This window comes from Homo sapiens, chromosome 20, assembly GCF_000001405.40.
Source record: "Homo sapiens chromosome 20, GRCh38.p14 Primary Assembly".
NCBI lineage: Eukaryota > Metazoa > Chordata > Mammalia > Primates > Hominidae > Homo > Homo sapiens.
In genome coordinates, this window is record NC_000020.11 from 34,220,591 (window position 1) to 34,244,385 (window position 23,795).

Consider the following 23,795-nt stretch of genomic DNA (forward strand, 5'->3'; position numbering starts at 1 on the left):
TCTCAAAAAAAAAAAAAAGAAGTAAGCACAAGGTGTCATGAGACCATGGAGAGCAAGCATTTAACTCAACACGGGGAATCAGGGAAGCAGGAAGGAATGACTCCTGAACTGACATAGGGAGGCAGAATGAATTCATTTGACATGCTTAGCACGGAACACTGACAATATACGTGTTCTGAACAGAATAATACAGATTATATGGTACCATAGAAAGTCAATGACTCATGATTGATGTATTTCCTGAACAACTAAAGAGTGGTTGCTCTCAGACTATTAATCTTCCTTTCTCTTCCCTATGCTTTTGTCACTCCGAAAGCCCATTCTCTGTTGTGTGGATGTTTTTCTTCCTTTCTTCTTTCCTTCTTTTTTTTTTTTTTTTTTTTTTTCTTCAGTGAAGGAGGATGTCATAAGAGCTGGAGAAACTGAGGAGGTCTTCAAGCAGAATGTGGGACTTGAAGAATTTGTGGAATATAAAAAGAGGATGTTGAAAGGGAAACAAATGGCAGGGCCAGGCGCGATGGCTCACGCCTGTAATCCCAGCTTTTTGGGAGGCTGAGGCGGGTGGATCACGAGGTCAGGAGATCGAGACCATCCTGGCTAACACGGTGAAACCCCATCTCTACTAAAAATACAGAAAATTAGCCGGGTGTGGTGGCTGGTGCCTGTAGTCCCAGCTACTGGGGAGGCTGAGGCAGGAGAATGGCGTGAACCTGGGAGGCGGAGCTTAAGGTGAGCCGAGATCGCGCCACTGCACTCCAGCCTGGGCGACAGAGCGAGACTCTGTCTCAAAAAAAGAAAAAAAAAGAAAAAGAAAGGGAAACAAATGGCAAATGTTGACTCAGTCAGCTTGCATTTATTGGGCCCTACCCTGCCTCTTTTTATCATGTTCCAGGGACACTGAGATGAATCTGATCCATGGGTTGAAATCAGCAGGATACGTATGTGGGCAATAAATGGAAAGCATATGTAGCATAGTTAGAAGTAAAGTCTAATAAGCAAAATGGGATAGGTTATAAAGGGCCTGGAAAACAGACACATTTAGACTTGATGTGGATGATACCAGGAGTCCTTTTAGGTTTTTGAGCAGAAAGTAGGTGGAAAAGATTTTAGAAAAAGAAAACTGGAACCATACAGACTAAGAAGGTGTGTGTGAGCCTAATTCTGGCAGTGAAGGTCTCTAGGGCATAGCGGAAGGAATAGAAAGAAAAGAGCAAAGGACACTGTAATGAAGAGATTAGGCCAGCCACAGTGGCTCACACCTGTAATCCCAGCACTTTGGGAGGCCGAGGTGGGTGGATTGCTTGAGCTCAGGAGTTCAAGACCAGTCTGGGCAACATGGCAAAACCTTGTCCCTACAAATAATACAAAAATTAGCCAGGTGTGGTGGCATGTGCCTGTAGTCCCAGCCACTTGGGAGGCTGAAGTGGGAGGATTGCTTGATCCTGGGAGGTAGAGGCTGCAGTGAGCCATAATTGTGCCACTGCACTCCAGCCTGGGCAACAGAGTGAGACCCTATCTCAAAAATAAATAAATAAATAAATATAAAGAAAAGATTGACCAGGCATGTGGATATAAAGAATCTTTAGCTGTAGGATACCAGCTTTTGCCATAGAAAATACCCAGTTACAGCTCATAGAACCTAAAAGAATTTGAGTTGGCAATGGTAGGCTACAGGGAGGAAGGATAATTAAAAAAAAAAAGGCTACAGATGGAGGAGGATGAGGCTGTAACTGCTATGATCTACAGCAAATAAGTAGCCCAGGCCTTAGGTGTTTTCATTTGTGGTTTAGGGCTCCAGAGCTTCTTTTGAATAACCAGTAAGGACCCATGACTCAGAATCATTGCTTCGAGGGCCGTATTGAGCAACTCTGAAACTAGATGCAGAACAGATGTCGTTGTAGAAGCCTAACATGCAGAGAAACTTGTAAAATATATATTTTTTTCAGGCCCTAGATTCTAAGATCCTGCTTTGCAGATCTGAAGTGGGACCCAGGAATCTTTAACAAGCTCTAAGGTAATGGTAATGCAAAAGTTACTCCCTCTCCCTCTCCCTCTCCGTCTCCCTCTCCCTCTCCCCACGGTCTCCCTCTCATGCGGAGCTGAAGCTGGACTGTACTGCTGCCATCTCGGCTCACTGCAACCTCCCTGCCTGATTCTCCTGCCTCAGCCTGCCGAGTGCCTGCAATTGCAGGCACGCGCCGCCACGCCTGACTGGTTTTGGTGGAGACGGGGTTTCGCTGTGTTGGCCGGGCCGGTCTCCAGCCCCTAACCGCGAGTGATCCGCCAGCCTCGGCCTCCCGAGGTGCCGGGATTGCAGACGGAGTCTCGTTCACTCAGTGCTCAATGGTGCCCAGGCTGGAGTGCAGTGGCGTGATCTCGGCTCACTACAACCTACACCTCCCAGCCACCTGCCTTGGCCTCCCAAAGTGCCGAGATTGCAGCCTCTGCCCGGCCGCCACCCCGTCTGGGAAGTGAGGAGTGTCTCTGCCTGGCCGCCCATCATCTGGGATGTGAGGAGCCCCTCTGCCTGGCTGCCCAGTCTGGAAAGTGAGGAGCGTCTCCTCCTGGCCGCCATCCCATCTAGGAAGTGAGGAGCGCCTCTTCCCAGCCGCCATCACATCTAGGAAGTGAGGAGCGTCTCTGCCCGGCCGCCCATCGTCTGAGATGTGGGGAGCGCCTCTGCCCTGCCGCCCCGTCTGGGATGTGAGGAGCGCCTCTGCCCGGCCGAGACCCCGTCTGGGAGGTGAGGAGCGTCTCTGCCCAGCCGCCCCGTCTGAGAAGTGAGGAGACCCTCTGCCTGGCAACCGCCCCGTCTGAGAAGTGAGGAGCCTCTCCGCCCGGCAGCCACCCCATCTGGGAAGTGAGGAGCGTCTCCGCCCGGCAGCCACCCCGTCCGGGAGGGAGGTGGGGGGTCAGCCCCCCCGCCCGGCCAGCCGTGCCATCCGGGAGGGAGGTGGGGGGGTCAGCCCCCCGCCTGGCCAGCCGTGCCCTCCGGGAGGGAGGTGGGGGGGTCAGCCCCCCGCCCGGCCAGCCGCCCCGTCCGGGAGGTGAGGGGCGCCTCTGCCCGGCCGCCCCTACTGGGAAGTGAGGAGCCCCTCTGCCCGGCCACCACCCCGTCTGGGAGGTGTGCCCAACAGCTCATTGAGAACGGGCCAGGATGACAATGGCGGCTTTGTGGAATAGAAAGGCGGGAAAGGTGGGGAAAAGATTGAGAAATCGGATGGTTGCCGTGTCTGTGTAGAAAGAAGTAGACATGGGAGACTTTTCATTTTGTTCTGCACTAAGAAAAATTCTTCTGCCTTGGGATCCTGTTGATCTGTGACCTTACCCCCAACCCTGTGCTCTCTGAAACATGTGCTGTGTCCACTCAGGGTTAAATGGATTAAGGGCGGTGCAAGATGTGCTTTGTTAAACAGATGCTTGAAGGCAGCATGCTCGTTAAGAGTCATCACCAATCCCTAATCTCAAGTAATCAGGGACACAAACACTGCGGAAGGCCGCAGGGTCCTCTGCCTAGGAAAACCAGAGACCTTTGTTCACTTGTTTATCTGCTGACCTTCCCTCCACTGTTGTCCCATGACCCTGCCAAATCCCCCTCTGTGAGAAACACCCAAGAATTATCAATAAAAAAATAAATTAAAAAAAAAAAAGTTACTCAGGAGACCCTTTTAGAAATACTTAGGGAAAGATAAGCTGTCTCCTTGGGATGACTGGGCTGGTGTCTGTGCATATGCCTTCTCTGGATCCAAGTGACTTTACCACACCAAGCCTTAAGACTGCCAGACTGTTCTCTCCATTGAAAGCCATTCTGCACCACTGGCCATACAGAAGGAATCTCATATTCCAGGAGACTGGCCCAAACAGGACTGTTGAGTGGCTCTAAGGCTTTTAGACGTCAAAAGGGTTTATAAGAATAATCATCATAATATAGTTATGAATCAGAAACATGCATACATTTTCTTAAATGACCCTGTGGGGATGAGTTAAAAAGGGAGGAGTACCCAGATGCAGGCGTCTAGCAGAATGGACTTGCTTGAGAATATCAAGCAAGACAGCCAAAGAGGACTCCTAGGATTGTCTCACCAGGACTTCTGAGGCGACTCTAATGAAATGACTTAAAAGTGTGGTGGAGTGGCTTCTGTGGCTCCCACACCTGCCTAATCCTGGTTGATATTGCACAACCAGGGTGCACTGACAATCTCTGGGAAAAAAGCAAGGTCTAATATTCAAAGCTTGGCAAACATGACCAAGACTTTTTCTCTTTCCTTTGAATTATTTTAGTTCCCTAATTTTTTGTCCCATATGCCACTTAATTCTTTTTATTTTGTATTAAAAGTTGTGCTCTTGTCTCAACCTTCTTTCTAGATTGGATCCTGCATGTTTTTTTTATCATTATACTTTTGGCAGCCCTACCACTAGGCTTCCTGAAATATAGCACCTTTGTTTTTGTTTGTTTGTTTGTTTGTTTTGAGACCGAGTTTCGCTCTGTCACCCAGGCTGGAGTGCAATGGCACAATCTCAGCTCACTGCAACCTCTGCCTCCTGGGTTCAAGCGATTCTCCTACCTCAGCTTCCTGAGTAGCTGGGATTACAGGTGCGTGCCACCACCCCCGGCTAATTTTTGTGTTTTTATTGAGACGGGGTTTCACCATGTTGGTCAGACTGGTCTCAAACTCCTGATCCCATGATCTGCCTGCCTAGGCCTTCCAAAGTGCTGGGATTATAGGTGTGAGCCACCGCGCCCTGCCTGCACCTTTGTTATATAGAAAATTCTTATCAACATTATTGTCTACTTTTAGACTTTATTTTGTTCTATTGAACTATTCTGGTTCTAGTACCATACATTAAAATTATAGCTTTATAATACTTTTTAACATCTGACAGGATGTGCTCCCCTTATCATCCTTCTTTTTCAATATTTTATCATTCTCACAGTTTTTCTCAGATCAACTTCACATGTAATTTACAAAAAAAATTAAAATTACATTGGTATTTAGGTGGAAATTATGTTAAATTTATGTACTAATCTGGAGAAGTCTTGTTTCGTAATAATAATTCTTACCATGAAGGAAAATAGCTTCTCTCTCCGCTGATTCATGTTTTTTCTCATGTCTCTCAGTAGAGTTTATAGCTTTTTTTGTATAAGTTCTCATAATTGCTTGAATATATTCCTAATTATTTTATTTTTGTTGTTTTGGGTGTGAATGAGATTTGTTTTTGTTCATTTTTAATGGGTTCTTGTTGGCATATACAAAAACCACTGATTTTAAAATACTTATGTAATAACTAGATGTGCACCTACTTTTTTTTTTTCTTTTTTTGAAACGGAGTCTTGCTGTGTCGCCCAGGCTGGAGTGTAGTGGCGCAGTCTTGGCTCACTGCAGCTTCCACCTCCCAGGTTCAAGCGATTCTCCTGCCTCAGCCTCCTGAGTAGCTGGGATTACAGGCATGTGCCACCACACCCGGCTAATTTTTGTATTTTTAGTAGAGACGGGGTTTCACCATGTTGGGCAGGCTATTCTTGAACTCCTGACCTCAGGTAAGGAGGTCACCCACCTTGGCTTCCCAAAGTGCTGGAATTACAGGCGTGAGCCACACGCTCAGCTGACGTGTACCTACTTTAGAACGTGTGTCTCTTATGTCAGCTTACCATTATTGTCCATGTAATTTGCCATTTTAACAGACTAAAAAAGAAAAGCTATATGACATTTTCAATAAATACATTAAAAAGTTGAGAAAATTCAACATTTATTCTGATTTTTTTTTAACTTTTTTATTTTGAGATGGAGTCTCGCTGTGTCACCCAGGCTGGAGTGCAGTGGCACGACTTTGGCTCACTGCAACTTCTGCCTCCTGGGTTCAAGCGATTCTCCTGCCTCAGCCTCCCAGGTAGCTGGGACTACAGGTGCACACCACAAGGCCCGGCTAATTTTTATATTTTTTAGTAGAGACAGGGTTTTGCCATGTTGGCCAGACTGGTCTCAAACTCCTGACCTCAAGTGATCCACCCGCCTCAGCCTCCTAAAGTGCTAGGATTATAGGAATGAGCCACTGCACTCAGCCTGATTTTTTAAAAAGTCTTAACAAACTAATAATAGAAAGGAACTTCCTCAGTCTGATAAAGCTCATCTACAAAAAATCTACAGCTAACTTACATACTTAATTTTTTTTTATGTTTTATAGAGATGGGGTCTTGCTATGTTGACCAGGCTGGTCTTGAACTCCTGGCCTCAAGTGATCCTCCCATCTTGGCCTCCCCAAAATGCTTGGATTGCAGGTGTGAGCCACCACACCTGGCCCCATACTTGATTAAAGACCAAATGTTTTCTTCTACAATAAGGAACAAGGCAAGGATGTCTGCTCTCACATCTTCTATTGAACTCTCTACTGGACATTCCAGTTAATTCAGTAAGGCAAGAACAAGGAATAAAAAACAATAAGCTTGGAAATGAAACAGTAAAACTATTTATTTGCAAAAGACATGATTGTTTATGTAAAAAATCCAATGAAGTCCTTAAAAAGTCTGCTAGAACTAATAAATGAGTTTAGCAAGTTTGAAGCATACAAGATTAATATACAGAAACTAGTTTATTTCTATATTGTAGCAAAGACAATACAAATTGACGTGTTAAAAAATGCCATTTATAATGGTACCAAAAATATTAAATTTTTAATGATAAATCTGTGCAAGACTCATATACTGAAACCATAAGACATTAATGAGAGAAATTAATACTTAAATAAGTAAAGAGATATACCAGGCTGGGCACAGTGGCTCACACCTGTAATCCTAGTACTTAGGGAGGCCGAGGCAGGCGGATCACGAGGTCAAGAGATCGAGACCATCCTGGCCAACATGGTGAAACCCCATCTCTACTAAAAATACAAAAATTAGCTGGGCATGATGGTGCACACCTGCAGTCCCAGCTACTCGGGAGGCTAAGGCAGGAGAATCACTTGAACCCAGGAGGTGGAGGTTGCAGTGAGCCGAGATTGTGCCACTGCACTCCAGCCTGGTGACAGAGTGAGGCTCCATCTCAAAAAAAAAAAAAAAAAGAGATATACCATATTCGTGGATCAGAGGACTCAATATTGTTCTGATGTCAGTTCTCCCCAGGTTTATCAATAGATTCAACACAACTCCAATCAAACTCCCAGTAGGTTTTAGTAGAAGTTGACAAGTTTATTCTAAAATTCATGTGGAAATACAAAGGACTTAGAGTAATCACAACTTCAAAAAAGAACAGTTTGAAGACTTCACTCTCCCTGACTTCCAGACTTGGAGAATAATCAAAACAGTGTAGTATTGCTATAAAGATAGACAAGTCAGTAGTTCAGAATAGAGAGTCTAGGAATAGACTCACACATGTATGGTCAAGTGATTTCCCACAAGGTACAAAATATAATCTTTTCAGCAAATGGTACTGGAACAGTTAGCCATATGCAATAAAATGAACTTCAATTCATAACTTCACACCATATAAAAATTAATTCAAAATGGACTGTAGACATAAATGTAAAATCTAACACTATAGAACTTTCTTTTTTTTTTTTTTTTTTTTTTTTTTTTTTTTTTTTTTTTTTTTTTTTTTTTTTTTTTTTCCTGATTAATTTTTATTTATTTTTTTTATTTTTTCCTTTGGAAACTACTTTATTTTTTATTTATTTTTTTTTTGAACATATGTATTTGTCAATATATTTTTGGCTGATGTGTTTACACAGGAAAAAATAATATTTACATACTCAAACCTCAGTTCAACATTTTAACAAAACAACATGCAGAAAAGTCTTCACTTCCTTTCTAAATACAAATGCTAGAATGTCGGAATCACACGTGGATGTTTTGAAAAGCGTGCTGAGCCTCCTCAAGGGTCATGGAGCTGCACATGCTACGACACCAAAGCAACTGGGTTTTGTTGGTTTTGTGGCAGTTGCTTATTAATATGTAATTTACATTCAGTAAAATCTGCCTTTTATTTTTTTTTTATTTTTTATTTTTAAATTTATTTTTTTATTGATAATTCTTGGGTGTTTCTCACAGAGGGGGATTTGGCAGGGTCATGGGACAATAGTGGAGGGAAGGTCAGCAGATAAACAAGTGAACAAAGGTCTCTGGTTTTCCTAGGCAGAGGACCCTGCGGCCTTCCGCAGTGTTTGTGTCCCTGATTACTTGAGATTAGGGAGTGGTGATGACTCTTAACGAGCATGCTGCCTTCAAGCATCTGTTTAACAAAGCACATCTTGCACCGCCCTTAATCCATTTAACCCTGAGTGGACACAGCACATGTTTCAGAGAGCACAGGGTTGGGGGTAAGGTCACAGATCAACAGGATCCCAAGGCAGAGGAATTTTTCTTAGTGCAGAACAAAATGAAAAGTCTCCCATGTCTACTTCTTTCTACACAGACACGGCAACCATCCGATTTCTCAATCTTTTCCCCACCTTTCCCGCCTTTCTATTCCACAAAGCCGCCATTGTCATCCTGGCCCGTTCTCAATGAGCTGTTGGGCACACCTCCCAGACGGGGTGGTGGCTGGGCAGAGGGGCTCCTCACTTCCCAGTAGGGGCGGCCGGGCAGAGGCGCCCCTCACCTCCCGGACGGGGCGGCTGGCCGGGCGGGGGGCCGACACCCCCACCTCCCTCCCGGACGGGGCGGCTGGCCGGGCGGGGGGCCGACACCCCCACCTCCCTCCCGGACGGGGCGGCTGGCCGGGCGGGGGGCTGACCCCCACACCTCCCTCCCGGACGGGGCGGCTGGCCGGGCAGAGGGGCTCCTCACTTCCCAGTAGGGGCGGCCGGGCAGAGGCGCCCCTCACCTCCCAGACGGGGCGGCTGGCCGGGCGGAGGGCTGACCCCCCCACCTCCCTCCCGGACAGGGCGGCTGGCCGGGCGGGGGGCTGACCCCCCAACCTCCCTCCCGGACGGGGCGGCTGGCCGGGCAGAGGGGCTCCTCACTTCCCAGTAGGGGCGGCCGGGCAGAGGTGCCCCTCACCTCCCAGACGGGGCGGCTGGCCGGGCGGAGGGCTGACCCCCCCACCTCCCTCCCGGACGGGGCGGCTGGCCGGGCGGGGGGCTGACCCCCCCACCTCCCTCCCGGACGGGGCGGCTGGCCGGGCAGAGGGGCTCCTCACTTCCCAGTAGGGGTGGCCGGGCAGAGGCGCCCCTCACCTCCCAGACGGGGCGGCTGGCCAGGCGGAGGGCTGACCCCCCCACCTCCCTCCCGGACGGGGCGGCTGGCCGGGTGGGGGGCTGACCCCCCCATCTCCCTCCCGGACGGGGTGGCTGGCCGGGCTGAGGGGCTCCTCACTTCCCAGTAGGGGCGGCCGGGCAGAGGCACCCCTCACCTCCCGGAAGGGGCGGCTGGCCGGGCGGGGGGCCGACACCCCCACCTCCCTCCCGGACGGGGCGGCTGGCCGGGCGGGGGGCCGACACCCCCACCTCCCTCCCAGACGGGGCGGCTGGCCGGGCGGGGGGCTGACCCCCACACCTCCCTCCCGGACGGGGCGGCTGGCCGGGCAGAGGGGCTCCTCACTTCCCAGTAGGGGCGGCCGGGCAGAGGCGCCCCTCACCTCCCAGACGGGGCGGCTGGCCGGGCGGAGGGCTGACCCCCCCACCTCCCTCCCGGACAGGGCGGCTGGCCGGGCGGGGGGCTGACCCCCCAACCTCCCTCCCGGACGGGGCGGCTGGCCGGGCAGAGGGGCTCCTCACTTCCCAGTAGGGGCGGCCGGGCAGAGGCGCCCCTCACCTCCCAGACGGGGCGGCTGGCCGGGCGGAGGGCTGACCCCCCCACCTCCCTCCCGGACGGGGCGGCTGGCCGGGCGGGGGGCTGACCCCCCCACCTCCCTCCCGGACGGGGCGGCTGGCCGGGCAGAGGGGCTCCTCACTTCCCAGTAGGGGTGGCCAGGCAGAGGCGCCCCTCACCTCCCAGACGGGGCGGCTGGCCAGGCGGAGGGCTGACCCCCCCACCTCCCTCCCGGACGGGGCGGCTGGCCGGGTGGGGGGGCTGACCCCCCCATCTCCCTCCCGGACGGGGTGGCTGGCCGGGCTGAGGGGCTCCTCACTTCCCAGTAGGGGCGGCCGGGCAGAGGCACCCCTCACCTCCCGGAAGGGGCGGCTGGCCGGGCGGGGGGCTGACCCCCCCACCTCCCTCCCGGATGGGGCGGCTGGCCTGGCCGGGGCTGACCCCCCCGCACCTCCCTCCCGGACGGGGTGGCTGCCGGGCGGAGACGCTCCTCACTTCCCAGATGGGGTGGCTGCCGGGCGGAGAGGCTCCTCACTTCTCAGACGGGGCAGCTGCCGGGCGGAGGGGCTCCTCACTTCTCAGACGGGGTGGTTGCCAGGCAGAGGGTCTCCTCACTTCTCAGACGGGGTCTCGGCCGGGCAGAGGCGCTCCTCATCTTCCAGACGGGGTCGCGGCTGGGCAGAGGCGCTCCTCACATCCCAGATGGGGCGGCGGGGCAGAGGCGCTCCCCACATCTCAGACGATGGGCGGCCGGGCAGAGACGCTCCTCACTTCCTAGATGTGATGGCGGCTGGGAAGAGGCGCTCCTCACTGCCTAGATGGGATGGCGGCCGGGCGGAGACGCTCCTCACTTTCCAGACTGGGCAGCCAGGCAGAGGGGCTCCTCACATCCCAGACGATGGGCGGCCAGGCAGAGACACTCCTCACTTCCCAGACGGGGTGGCGGCCGGGCAGAGGCTGCAATCTCGGCACTTTGGGAGGCCAAGGCAGGCGGCTGCTCCTTGCCCTCGGGCCCCGCGGGGCCCGTCCGCTCCTCCAGCCGCTGCCTCCCGGGCGGCGCTCGCCGGCGCGGCGGCAAAGACTGAGCTAGAACTTTCAAAAGAAAACATAGAAGAAATCTTTTGTGACTTTGAGTTAAGCAAAGATTTCTTAAATATGACAAGAAAAGCACAATCAATAACAGAAACATTAAATTGGGCTTTGTCGAAATTAATAACTTCTATCAAAGGACACTGTTAAGAACAATGAAAATTCAATCCTCTGACTGGGAGAAATATATACAAATAACTTATCTGACAAAGAACTTGTATCCAGAATATAGTTTTAAAAATAAGAAACACTACCCAGTTTTTTAAATGAACAAAAGATTTGAACAGATACTCTACCAAAAAATATGCAAATTGAAATAAGCTCATACAGATGGAAATAAGCTCATTAGGGAAATACAAATTATCACTGCAATGAGATACTACTATGTACCTATTAGAATTTCTCAAATTAAAAAGACTGACCATAACAAGTGTTGGCAAGGACATTGAGTAATGGAACTCTCATATATGTCAGGGGTAGGATTTGACTTTACCCTACTTATAAGCCAGTAAGTTAGCTTGTTGTTTCATGAATTCTAACAGAAGATATGAGACTCAGGTCAGAGACAATGAACTTTATTATTCATCACACAGCAAGCAGCATGAGCATTAACTTTTGCATCAGCTCTTGCTCCCTGAGTCCAACAGGGACAACACAAAGGCCCAGATGAAGGTCTACACATGTGGTAAATGTGTTACATGACAATAGCACTGAGTTTGGGGAACCCACATTTTATAGAAAGCAGTAAGTGAGCTTGCTTTTTAACCCAGGGAGATATTACTTCACAGCTCAAAGTTGCTTGCTGCAAAGACAATCCTGAGAAATGGCCTGGCTAAAGAGCAGTCAATACCTTACATTCTTGGTATACTCTATAAGATGAGGAGGAGCATAAGAGACTCATGGCAGAATGTCTCTCAACAGCATCCACCGTCAGTTCTACATCATCTTGACTTCTTGAGAGATTTTCACTTGAGCATGCCATTCTGTAGGCCACTTTGATTAATCTGATTAGTAGAGGTTGGAACCAAATCCGTCCAATTTATCTCATACAGCATAGACCACTGTCAATAAATCCCCAAGCAGCAAGATGAGACAAACCTGCAGTATTGACCTCAGAGTACCAGATTCAACCACCTGTGAATAAGTCTCAGGAGGATCTGTAGGTCTTATTTGAGACATCCAGTATATAGTTTAAGGCCAGTCGTAATCACCATACATAGCATAACCAAGGCCACTCAGGCATCAGGAGAAGCACATGATTTTGTATGAGTCAGCTTAAAACATAGTTGTGCCAGTCTGTGTTTGTACATGTATGTAGATGTATGTCCACCTTTGACAGCACCAGGCACAGAAGGCATAGTGTCAGGCCATGTCCACATGAGTTTCTCTGTTTTAATAGCACATGGACTGGTTTGACAAACCCAGCAGCAGATGAGATTGGCAGCCTGATGACAGTGTGCCTCAAACAAACCATGTAACTATTTGCCAGGTTGCAGTGCTGGATCTAAGGGACATAGAGAACATTAACTGTTCCCTACCTCTCCACACTTCCTGGAGTTTAACGTGTTCTCCCTCCAGGTACTGGGATCGTTGTTCTCCTTCCACAGCTACAAAATCAGTGTGTCCCAACCCAGTAGCTGTAACTTCACCTTTTCTCCAATTCTTCCCCACTCACACCAACATTTTTCATCTGGAAGAGTCAACTGTGAATGGGACAAGAGCTTTTTTTTTTTTTTTTTTTTTTGATACAGAGTCTCGCTCTGTTGCCCAGGCTGGAGTACAATGGTGTGATCTCAGCTCACTGAAAGCTCTGCCTCCTGGGTTCACCCCATTCTCCTGCCTCAGCCTCCCAAGTAGCTGGGACTACAGGCACCCACCACCATGCCCGGCTAATTTTTTGTATTTTTAGTAGAGATGGGGTTTCACTATGTTAGCCAGGATGGTCTTGATCTCCTGACCTCATGATCTGCCCACCTCGGCCTCCCACAGTGCTGGGATTACAGGTGTGAGCCACCGCGCCCGGCCCACATGGATAAACTTTGAAAACATTTTGCTAAGTGAAGGAAGCCAGCCACAAAGACTACATACTGTAGGATGGTTGCACAACTCTGTGAATAAACTAAAAACCTTCCAAAGGGTGAATTTTATGATATGTGAATTACATCTCAATTAAGCTGTTTTTTAATTAAAAGTTTATTCCATCTCTCAATGGTACCACCAGTCTGAAGATAATGAATTGGCTACCAAATACTTTGACTATAAGCCCATTGTTGATGAGTTTTTGCACTAAAAAATGCAGTATTATCACCATCCAGAAAGCCAAAATCATGACACAGATTAGTTTCAAGGGCCACAATGATGTGGCCACAATTGGCTGATCAGACTAGAACAGCAAAACCATTACCTGAGAAAAAGTCAACAGGAATGAGATACCAGTGGAATAGCTTGGAAGAGGTCAAAGGTCTGATGTCACCAATTTACCAGGAGCCAGTCAACACTCTGCAGCCAGTCAACACTCAGTGCAATATGGCCTCTTTCACCATGAGACAAATAGGCTAACTTTTGGCAGAGGTCACAAATCTGGCATGTAGTGGTAGCTTCTGATTCAGAAACACAGAGTCCCTTACTTTGTGCCCAGTTGATGATGGTGTCACCATGTCCAATGTTATGATGGATCTAAGTGGCAACTGTGGCCATCTGAGTGGCACAAGCTTGATCAAAAGCTTGATTCTAGTTGGTCTCATCAGAGAATGAGCCCTTACCATGCACACCACAACAGTGATCCAGACTGTTTGGTGGCTACAATTTGTTTCCAGGGCTCATGACCCAAAGTGAAGTGCCTTTAATCTGCCAGTCTGTAATCTTCTAAGTAGCAGACAAGACCACTAGTGCCTAAGAATCAGTAAAAATATAGCATAACTAGTCAGTCCTAAGGGAAAGGTGATAGCTTTTGTTTTAGACCATTGTGCTAATTGACCCTTAATGCAGTAGGTCTTCCAGAGTTGTGGTTGAGGCCAGGCATCCAGTGGGCGCTATCAGCTTTCTTTCTTTCTTTTTCCTTTTCTCTTTTCTTTTCTTTTCTCCTTCCTTCCTTCCTTCCTTCCTTTCTTTCCTTTCTTTCTTCCTCACTCTGTTGCCCAAGTGTATATGACGGACTGCATATATGACAGTGGTCCTATAAACCAGCCTGACCAACATGGCGAAACCCCATCTCTACTAAAAATACAAAAATTCGCCGGGCGTGGTGGCAGGCGCCTATAATCCCAGCTACTCGGGAGGCTGAGGCTGAGGCTGAGCCAGGAGAATCATTTGAACCCAGGAGGCAGAGGTTGCAGTGAGCCGAGATTGCGCCACTGTACTCCAGCCTGGGTGACAGAGCGAGACTCAGAAAAACAACAACAAAAACAACAACAAACAGTTTACTGTAAAACAGTATGTCATGTTATACCCACAGTATCCTCATATATTTCATGTTTACCGCATCTCTTGTTTGCACATTATTTTCTCTCGCATTTGATTTAATCTTGTGTTGTTTTTTTCATCATAGCTCCTAAGGGTACAAAATCCATGGCTAATGTTGCCAGTAAGAGGCCACATCAAGTGATTGACCTGGAAATGAAATTTAAAGTAAAAGTCAGTGATGATTATTGCTCACCAGTCAGGCATATCCCATTCCACCATAGCTACCATCTTGAAGAGCAAGAGCAAAGTGACCGAAGCTGTTAAATAATCTGCTTCAGCCGGGCGCAGTGGCTCACGCCTGTAATCCCAGCACTTTGAGAGGCCGAGGTGGGCAGATCATGAAGTCAGGAGTTTGAGACCAGCCTGATCAACATTGTGAAACCCCGTCTCTACTAAAAATACAAAAATTAGCCAGGCGAGGTGGCAGGCACCTGTAATCCCAGCTACTTGGGAGGCTGAGGCAGGACAATCGCTTGAAGCGGGGAGGCGGAGGTTGCAGTGAGCCGAGATCATGCCATTGCACTCCAGCCTGGGTGACACAGTGAGACTCCATCTCAAAAACAAAGAAAAAAGAAGAATCTGCTTCACTGAAGGCAATGAGACTAACAAAAGTTCACGAAGGTTCTATATGGGATATGGAGAAACTTCTAATGACCTAGATTGAAGACCAGGCAACAGAAGTATATCTTTCTTAGCACGATAACAATCATGGCCAAAACAAAAAGTTTGTTTGTGATGTTGAAAGAAAAGTCTGGCTGGGCATGGTAGCGCATGCCTGTGGCCCCTACTACTCAGGAGGCAGGGGTGGGAGGATTGCTAGAGCCCAGGAAGTCGTGGCTGAAGTGGGCTCATGATAATGCCACTGCACTCCAGCCTGTGTGACAGAGTGAGACTCTGAGAAAGAAGAAAGAAAGAAAGAAAGAAAGAAAGAAAGAAAGAAAGAAAGAAAGAAAGAAAGAAGGAAGGAAGGAAGGAAGGAAGGAAAGGAAGGAAGGAAGGAAGGAAGGAAGGAAGGAAAGGAAGGAAGGAAGGAAGGAAGGAAGGAAGCGGGAGGGAGGGAAGAAGGAAGGAAGGAAGGAAGGAGGGAGGGAGGGAAGAAGGAAAGAAGGAAGGAAGGAGAAAGAGAGAAAGAGAGAGAGAAGAAGAAAGAGAAAGAAACAGAAAAGGAAGGAAGGAGAGAGAGAAAGAAAGAGAAAGAGAAGGAAGGAAGGAAGGAGAAAGAAAGGAAAGGAAAGGAGTGGAAAGGAAAGGAGAGGAAAGGAGAAAGGAGGGAGGGAGGGAAAAGAAAGAAAGAAAGAAAAGGCTAAACCTGACTATGATATTGAATTTACTGCTAGCTCTAGGTGGTTTAAATGATTCAAGAATCATGGCCATGGCTGGGCGCAGTGGCTCACGCCTATAATCCCAGCACTTTGGGAGGCCGAAGCGGGCAGATCACCTGAGGTCAGGAGTTTGAGACCAGCCTGGCCAACATGGTGAAACCCTGTCTCTACTAAAAATACACAAAAAAATTAGCCAGGCATGGTGGTGCGTGTCTGTAATCCCAGCTACTTGGGAGGTTGAGGCAGAAGAATCGCTTGAATCCAGGAGGTGGACGTTGCAGTGAGCTGAGATTGCACCACTGCACTCCAGCCTGGGCAACAAGAGTGAAAACTCTGTCTCAAAAAAAAAAAGAATCATTATTCAGCCTGGCACAGTGGCTCACGCCTGTAATCCTACCACTTTGGGAGTCTGGGGTGGGAGAATTGCCTGAGCCCAGGAGTTTGAAACCAGCCTAGGCAAGATGGCGAGACCCCCATCTTAAAAATAAATCATTATGCATTATATAATGTGAATGTGAGAGAGCAATATGCAAGTGCTGATACGAAGGCAGCTGAAGAATTTTGGGAAACTCTAGATAAGGTGATTGTATTTGCCTGGGAAAATCTTCTTGAGTTTTATAGTTTCAGGTCTTATTAATACATTTAGGTCTATGATTCATTTTGGGTAAGTTTTTGTATATGGTGTTAGGTAAGAGTCTAACTTCATTGTTTTGCATGTAGATATCCACTTTTCCTAGTACCATTTGTTGAAAAAAACTCTTATTTCCCCCATTAAATGGCCTTGACACCTTTGTCAAAAATCACTTGACCACACATGTAAAGGTTTATTTCTGGGCCTTTATTTATTCTATTATGGGTTTATTTATTCTATTCCATTTTTCTACACATTTGTCTTTATGCAAGTACCACACTGTTTTGATTACTGTGGCTTTGTAGTAAGTTTTGAAATCAAGAAGTGTGAGTCCTCCAGCTTTATTCTTTTTCAAGATTATTTTGGCTATTTGGGGTCCTTTGAGATTCCATACAAATTTTAGAATGGGTTTTTTTTCTATTTCTGCCAAAAAAAACCTCCTAGAGATTTTGTTAGGAATTGTATTGAATCTGTAGATTGCTTATATTTATGTCTTATTTAATTTCTTTCAGCAATGTTCTATAGTTGTCATTGTACACATCTTTCACCCCCTTGGCTATGTTAATTCCTAATTCTTTTGATGCTTTTGTAGATTGAATCATTTTCTTAATTTCCTTTTCAGATTGTTCATTGTTAATATATAGAAATGTAACTGATATAACTTTGTATCCTGCTACTTTGCTAAACTGATTTATTAGTTCTAACAGTGTTTTGTGGAATCTTTAGGCTTTTCTACATTTAAGATCATATTATCTGTGAACAGAGATCATTTTACTCCTTCCTTTTTAATGCGGATGGCTTTGCTTTCTTTTCCTTGCCTAATTGTTCTAGGTAGAACTTCCAGTACTATTTTGAGTAGAGGTGGTGAAAGCAGGCATCTTTGTCTTGTTCTTGATGTTGGAGGAAAATCTTTCATTCTTTCATCATTGTGTATGATGTTGGCTGTGGGTTTTTCATATATGGCTTTTATTATGTTGAAGCAGTCCTCCTATTCCTAGTTTGTGGAGTGTTTTTTTTTATCATGAAATTATGTTAGAGTTTGTCAAATGCTTTTCCTGCATCAATTGAGATAATCTGATATAGGATTCTTGGTTGACAGTTTTTTTCTTTCAGAACTTTGAATTTGTCAGCCCACAGCCTCTGGCCTCCAAAGTTTCTGATAAGAAATCTGCTAATGATTTTATTGAGGATTTATTGTATGTGATGAGTCGCATCTCTCTTGCTGCTTCCAAGATTTTATCTTTGGTTTTGGCTTTCAAAAGTTTGATTATACCGTATCTTTGTGTGGATCTCTTTGAGTTCATCTTACTTGGAGTTCATTGAGCTTCTTGGATGTTTATATTCATATCTTTAATCAAACTTTGGAAGTCTTAATCAATGTTTCTTCAAATATTCTGGGTTTTTTTCTCTCTTCTCCTTCTGGGATGGCTAGACTTCTGAGAGAATGCATATGTTTTTCTGCTTGATGGTGTCCCACATGTCCCTTAGGCAGTGTTTACTTTTCTCCAATCTTATTTATGTTCCTCAGACTCAGTAATTTTCATGGTTCTATCTTCAAGTTCATTGAGTCTCTCTTCTGTCTAATCAAATCTGCCTTTGAATCCCTCTAGTGCATTTTTAAATTTTGGTTATTGTACTAATCAATACTACAAAAAGTTCTTGTACTTTCTGGTTTCTTTTTAGGTTTTCCATATCTCTATTGATATTCCCCTTTTGCTTGTACTTGTTTTTTTCACTCTCCACATCTTCCTTTAGTTCTCTGAGCATCTCTAAGACAATTGTTTTAATATATTTGTCTAGTAGGTCTGCCATGAGGACTTTCAGAGCTTCTGTTGACTTTTTTCCTTTGAATGTGCCATATTTTTTCTTTTCTTTGTATGCCTTGTGATTTTTTGGTTGAAAACTAGACATTTTAGTTTAATAATGTGGTAACTCTAGAAACCAGGTTCTCCCCTTTCCTCAGGGTTTACTTTATTTTGTTACTGTTTTTTGTTATTGTTGATGTTTCTTTTTTATTGTTATAGGCTATCTCTGTGCCAAGGACACTTTGCCATCCAAGCCTTCACCTAGAAGTTGCAAGCCTTCAATAGACTCCATGGCTTTAAAATAGTTACAGATTCTGCCAGTACAAGTTTTGGTTAGGTAAGGAAACAGAATCCTAGAGCTTCCTACTCTGCCATCTTCCCAGAATACTTTCCTGGCTAATTATTTCTAAGGGAATAATTTAAGCCCCCAAAGACACCTGGGCCAAGTCTTTCTCTAGAAACTTGATATCTTTTCTGCTTTCTTTCCCTGCTTTTTCTTTTCCACTTAGTTCCACTCCCATCCCCCATCTCACCACCTAATATCCATCAGACTCAGTATGTTCCTCTTCTCCTCCCAACCCCATGTTCAAATACTTTTTTTTTTTTTGAGACTGGCCCAGGCTGGAGTGCAGTGGCACAATCTTGGCTCACCGCAACCTCTGCCTCCCAGGTTCAAGCGATTCTCCTGCCTCAGCCTCCCAAGTAGCTGGGACTACAGGCACCTGCCACCACACCTGGCTATTTTTTGTATTTTTAGTAGAGACGGGGTATCACCATGTTGGCCAGGCTCTTCTCGAACTCCTGACCTCAGGTGATCCACCCACCTCGGCCTCCCAATCAAATTCTTTATCCAAAGCCTTACTTGGTGGGTCATATAATGAACTAAAATTTGGAAAACATTCACATTTGTGGAATGCTTCAGAGTTTTCAAGGCGTCTACATTATCTCATTGGATCCTCTTTTCAGCCCAGTGTGGTTGGTAGATGAGATAGCAGTGTTCAGACAGTTTATGTGACTTGTCCAAGATCAGAGAGAAAGTAACAAAGCCTAAACTGGAATCCAGATCTCCTGACTCCCTATTCACTTATCTTTCCAGTTGCCCTTGTCTCTACAAATCACCAAAAGAAATTGGTTCCTAGAAATAAGGATAATGTAGGGGTGTGCCATCCCCTATCCCACTCTTCTGCACCCATCACCACGAAAACAGACAATGTTTATTGCAGGGCCCCATATTAACCTACTTTCTTCTGCAGAGCCTCTAAGCTCCACATTATCCAGGAAGCAATACATTGTGACTGTTGAAGTCAAAATAAAACATAGCGATGAATCTCTAACTTTAAAGCATTCTATTTTGGAAGCAAGGATTGCAGTTTGAGGCATACACACTAACCAGGTGGTCTTCAGTGTGTCTGAGGAACAGAAAGAAGGTTGGGAGTTTTATTAGAGAAATGTTCTATACTGTTTTGAAAGAAAGCTCATTGGCACTAAAGAATCATTTGGAAAGAAGGGAAAAAAAGAGAAAAAAGAAGCATTTGGGAGCTGGCAAACTCTGATTGGTGAGTGATGGTGGTAGGCAAAACTATTCTTAAAGTCATGTTTCAGCAGCTACTAAACTAGTCTTGGGGTTACAGCAGGCCATTTTAGCAGCTGGGCTTGTGAAAAATTTAATTCATGGAGCAGGTGCTGTGCCCCAAGTGCTTCTTCCCTCCTGGTCCCTAGACTCTGATTTAGTTGGGTATGACAAGAATGACCCAGTTTGTGTGATCAGCTTTCACATAACCTTGTAAATTCTAGTTGATCCAAGGAAAACCAACTAAGTAAGGAGAAGAAAAGAACTGCAGCGTCATAGTTTTTGAGTCTGTGTAAGTACAGCCCTTTGACTGAAATCTGAAAATTATGAGACCAATATTCCTGCAAAAAAAGGTCCCAAAGAGATTTTACTAATAAGGTGGGCTGGGCCTCAGCAATCTGCCCATCAAGAGTTTAGCTTCTCCACCAACTACTCCTTAACTCACCCGGAATTTCTGAAACAAGCTGAATTAGACCCTTCTTTGGCAGGACTTGTTTTTCTAGGTTAACTCAATTAGACTGTTTTATTCCGTCTCTTGGGATCCATTCTGAATTAAATTTTCATTAAACTCTGCCCTTGGAGTATCCTTGATGCAACCACTTCCCTTCCAATCCCTTGTAACCTCAATGTCAACATCAATTCCAATTCTAAAGAATTGGGAGAAATATGGGAAGAACAGACCACAAGACTTCTGGCAACCAGAATGAGTATGAAGGCATGACGTTTGCTTGGCTGAAAGCAAAGAGATGAGGTGGGGAAGCCAGCTCTGGGAGATCCTGGGATCTTTAAAAAATCTCAGAGCAACACGCCTTGCCTCTGCTATCCACGGACAGGAAAGACGCTCTGCTTTGGCGACCCTTAGAGGGGCTAATAGAGGCACAGTCACTTGCACCGTAAATAGGAGGAAACAATTTTCTTTTCTTCTGCCGCCTATAGAGATTCTATTTTCTTCTCTAAGTTTAACTTTTATATGAACTGGGTTGCTAGAGAGCTCCTTTGTAAAATAAAGGATAACCCTTTACCTTTTGCTTCTTTTGTAAAACCTCTCTTGATCTGCTTGCAGCTGCCTTTCAGCTGATGAAACATTTCCTATTTTCACTGTGGATCTGAAAGAACCTTCCTGCCTGTGAGATGTGGTGAAGTTTGAAATAATTTTGTAGTATGATTGGTTGTTTTCTTGTTCTTGTCTTTGAAGTTATAGATGAGCAAGCAGCAAATCTCTACAGCTGCAAGGTGAAAAAGGAAGTTCCTTGGCCTGGGCTCTTTGCGGGAAAGCATGTGAGTTTAGATGGCAACTTTAATCTGCTTTCAGGAGTGAAGCTGCTGCTACTTTGGAAAGTTGAAAGGACTTAACAGTTATCCCTCCTTTCTTGGAAAGTTAAACAGATTTTTTTGATTCACTTTTGTGGGTCAGAGTAGTTAAGAGGAGTTCAGTGTGAAGAAAGCAGTTGATCTTTTGCTAACTAGTGGCTTCTTTCTCTTTACTCTGTGCCTTTTCCATTGCCTAGCAGTAAACGAATAAATAAATATATCTATATGTATATCTAAGAAAGAAGTACTCCTAAATATCGACCCTGACCCCAAAGTCACACTTTAATGCTTCTTTAAATGTCTTCAGAAAGTTGCTTGTGGTTTCAGATTTCTAATAACTCTTACAGAGCAGAATTTAGGATTTAGGGATCAGTCTGCACGTGTAGCATTTGTTCATTTCATATTTATTAGAGATGAAACAGATGACCAAAATTCCATTTATTGCAGACTCTCCTTTTCCTTTGTAAATGTTTGACTTTTCTGAATGGATATCCATATTCACACATTTTAATGCCCATTAAAGGAAGCTCAGGTTAATGTTTTCAATTGTAGGTGAGTTCGCTCTGCTTCAGTGATATGGAACATTTTGTTCTGCTGTTTCCATTGGAGGAGATTAAAGAGGCTAAATGGGATGGCATAGTGAAGTCATTTTTGGTTTCCTTTTTAAAATTTTTATTTTATTTTATTTTATTATTTTTATTTTATTTTATTTATTTACTTATTTATTTTTGAGACGGAGTCTCACTGTCACCCAGGCTGGAGTGCAATGGCATGATCTTGGCTCACTGCAACCTCTGCCTCCTGAGTTCAAACGATTCTCCCACCTCAGGCTCCTGAGTAGCTGGGACAACAGGCACACACCACCACGCCTGGCTAATTTTTGTATTTTTAGTAGAGACAGGGTTCCACTATGTTGGCCAGGCTAGTCTCAAACTCCTGGCCTCAGGTGATCTGCCCACCTCAGCCTCCCAAAGTGCTGGGATTACAGGCGTGAGCCACAGCACCCAGCCAGTCATTTTGGGTTTTCTTTGGTTATTTTGGATGCCTTACTGGGACCCACTCAAAAAACAAACAAACAACAAAACAAAACAAAATGAAAAACACTTTCATAAATGTCTGTCTCAAAACCTTTTCTACTTTCTCCAAATAGAACTAATGCATACATATTCTTAAGATTTGCTCAGCTATATCTCCTTGGTTCTGACTTAATCCTCTTCTGCAGAAAATTTCATCTCACATCAAAGCCTCTTCCCTCCTTCTGCTGTAAAGTTGTTGAGAGCTGTCACAGACTGTCAGCTCAGCTTCAGCTATGCTTAATGAGTGCTTGTGCAGAATGCACCCCAGGTAAAGGAATTCAGAAATCAAAAGACATGATTACTGAGAAGGAGAAAAGGCAGAGAAGTGATTTCTGGAGAGCATAAACAAAACCAATATAGTACCCACTAAGGTCTTTGTTGAGTAATGATAGATAAAACAGCCTAAAGGGAATGATGTCAGGAGATCTAAAACAATCATTTAGCATCGCCTATCAGCATTGTATTCCTTGTACACTGTGGGAATGAACATCTGGGAAGCCTAGACTCTGACCCCTGTTTCAGTGGAACAGGGAGACAGATTTCACACTGACAAACAGCTGCCTGAAGGAGTCTTGTCCTTTTGTCCCTTGAGAAGGGACACAGCCTCAAGTCTTCTCTCAAGTTCTAACTCAGGACCCCTCAGGCAGTCTGGGCCTGCCATATGGTTCTTGGTCTCAAAGAAGAGTTCTGAAGCAGGTTGTCTACAGAAGATTCAAACCACCCATTAAAATATTATTCAATTTGGCATCTGTTAGGCATAACAATTAGACTAGCCAATTCAGTCACAATAGTGAAATCGGTACGTGTATGTAGATACAGCCCAAGAGATCAAATAATTTTAGTGTTGTTAAGAAAAAATTATTCTGAATTTTTTTTTACACAAGGACAATTTTAATCCTGCATTTTCCTGTGGTAACATCCACTGCTGGCTAGCTATGGATTGAAACTGCATTTGCTAAGAACTGTGGAGCACATGTTGATACAGGCACACAGACATCTGCCAGCACCAACAGAATACATATGTAACACATACCAGATAGTCTCGATGGATAAATTTGCTCCACCAGTAATTCTATTTAGTAGAATTCACAGTTAATGCAGAATTTCATTTTTAAATTTTACATCTTTCTAATACTTTACATTTTTCTAATATTGTATTTAAAAAAAAAAAAAAAAAACTGTCTCGCCGGGCGCGGTGGCTCACGCCTGTAATCCCAGCACTTTGGGAGGCCGAGGCGGGTGGATCATGAAGTCAGGAGATCGAGACCATCCTGGCTAACACGATGAAACCCCGTCTCTACTAAAAATACAAAAAAATTAACCGGGCGTGGTGGCGGGCGCCTGTAGTCCCAGCTACTCAGGAGGCTGAGGCAGGAGAATGGCGTGAACCCGGGAAGCGGAGCTTGCAGTGAGCCGAGATTGCGCCACTGCACTCCAGCCTGGGCGACAGAGTGAGACTCCATCTCAAAACAAACAAACAAACAAAAAAACTCTCATTCAAGATCGTAATTTGCATGACAATAAACCATGGTTTTGTGGGCTCTAAGTTTCTTAGAAGTGTCCGCAGCAATTTAGAACAAACACCGCAAGTCTTCCTTCCAATTTGCAGCATCTGATTTAAAGTTTAAATTCATCTAATGCATCATTAAAACTGTCATTTTTACTTCTCTTGTCATTAAAACTTCTCTTGTGAGAAGACATGTTTCACTTGCTATTTCCAGGACTACATCTTGAGCATGGGTGTACAGTATTTTTCATTGGTTAGCAGAATTTTACTCACATAATTT

General features: G+C 45.6%; 2 protein-coding genes across 5 annotated transcripts in view, besides 4 other annotated features; one reads left to right on the forward strand and one right to left on the reverse strand.

Moving 5' to 3' along the window:
* ASIP (agouti signaling protein) overlaps positions 1-23,795 on the forward strand; it is an 82,852-nt gene that overhangs the window by 34,098 nt on the left and 24,959 nt on the right. For 2 of the 4 annotated variants that reach the window (XM_011528821.1, XM_011528820.2), the window contains exon 2: positions 1,947-2,014. The exons of 1 other annotated variant lie outside the window; for it this stretch is intronic. The gene's annotated coding sequence lies outside the window, so the exon portion shown is untranslated. Of the gene's footprint in view, positions 1-1,946; positions 2,015-20,832; positions 20,900-23,795 lie in introns of those variants that run through there. One more of the 4 variants, NM_001672.3, reaches the window with a different exon arrangement.
* Positions 11,236-11,737: an enhancer, noted in NCBI's record as "NANOG hESC enhancer chr20:32819632-32820133 (GRCh37/hg19 assembly coordinates)". NCBI's record gives its function as "activates a minimal SCP1, AML or CMV promoter by ChIP-STARR-seq in naive H9 embryonic stem cells {active_cell/tissue: H9 hESC(naive)}" and the evidence as "EXISTENCE:reporter gene assay evidence [ECO:0000049][PMID:30033119]".
* Positions 11,391-23,795, reverse strand: part of AHCY (adenosylhomocysteinase) — a 79,856-nt gene continuing 67,451 nt past the window's right edge. The window contains exon 11 of the mRNA XM_047439962.1: positions 11,391-14,440. The gene's annotated coding sequence lies outside the window, so the exon portion shown is untranslated. The remainder of the gene's footprint in view (positions 14,441-23,795) is intronic.
* Positions 20,632-20,701: an enhancer, noted in NCBI's record as "active region_17756". NCBI's record gives its function as "activates an Ori minimal core promoter by ATAC-STARR-seq in GM12878 lymphoblastoid cells {active_cell/tissue: GM12878}" and the evidence as "EXISTENCE:reporter gene assay evidence [ECO:0000049][PMID:35858748]".
* Positions 20,722-20,871: an enhancer, noted in NCBI's record as "active region_17757". NCBI's record gives its function as "activates an Ori minimal core promoter by ATAC-STARR-seq in GM12878 lymphoblastoid cells {active_cell/tissue: GM12878}" and the evidence as "EXISTENCE:reporter gene assay evidence [ECO:0000049][PMID:35858748]".
* Positions 21,925-22,426: an enhancer, noted in NCBI's record as "NANOG hESC enhancer chr20:32830321-32830822 (GRCh37/hg19 assembly coordinates)". NCBI's record gives its function as "activates a minimal SCP1, AML or CMV promoter by ChIP-STARR-seq in primed H9 embryonic stem cells {active_cell/tissue: H9 hESC(primed)}" and the evidence as "EXISTENCE:reporter gene assay evidence [ECO:0000049][PMID:30033119]".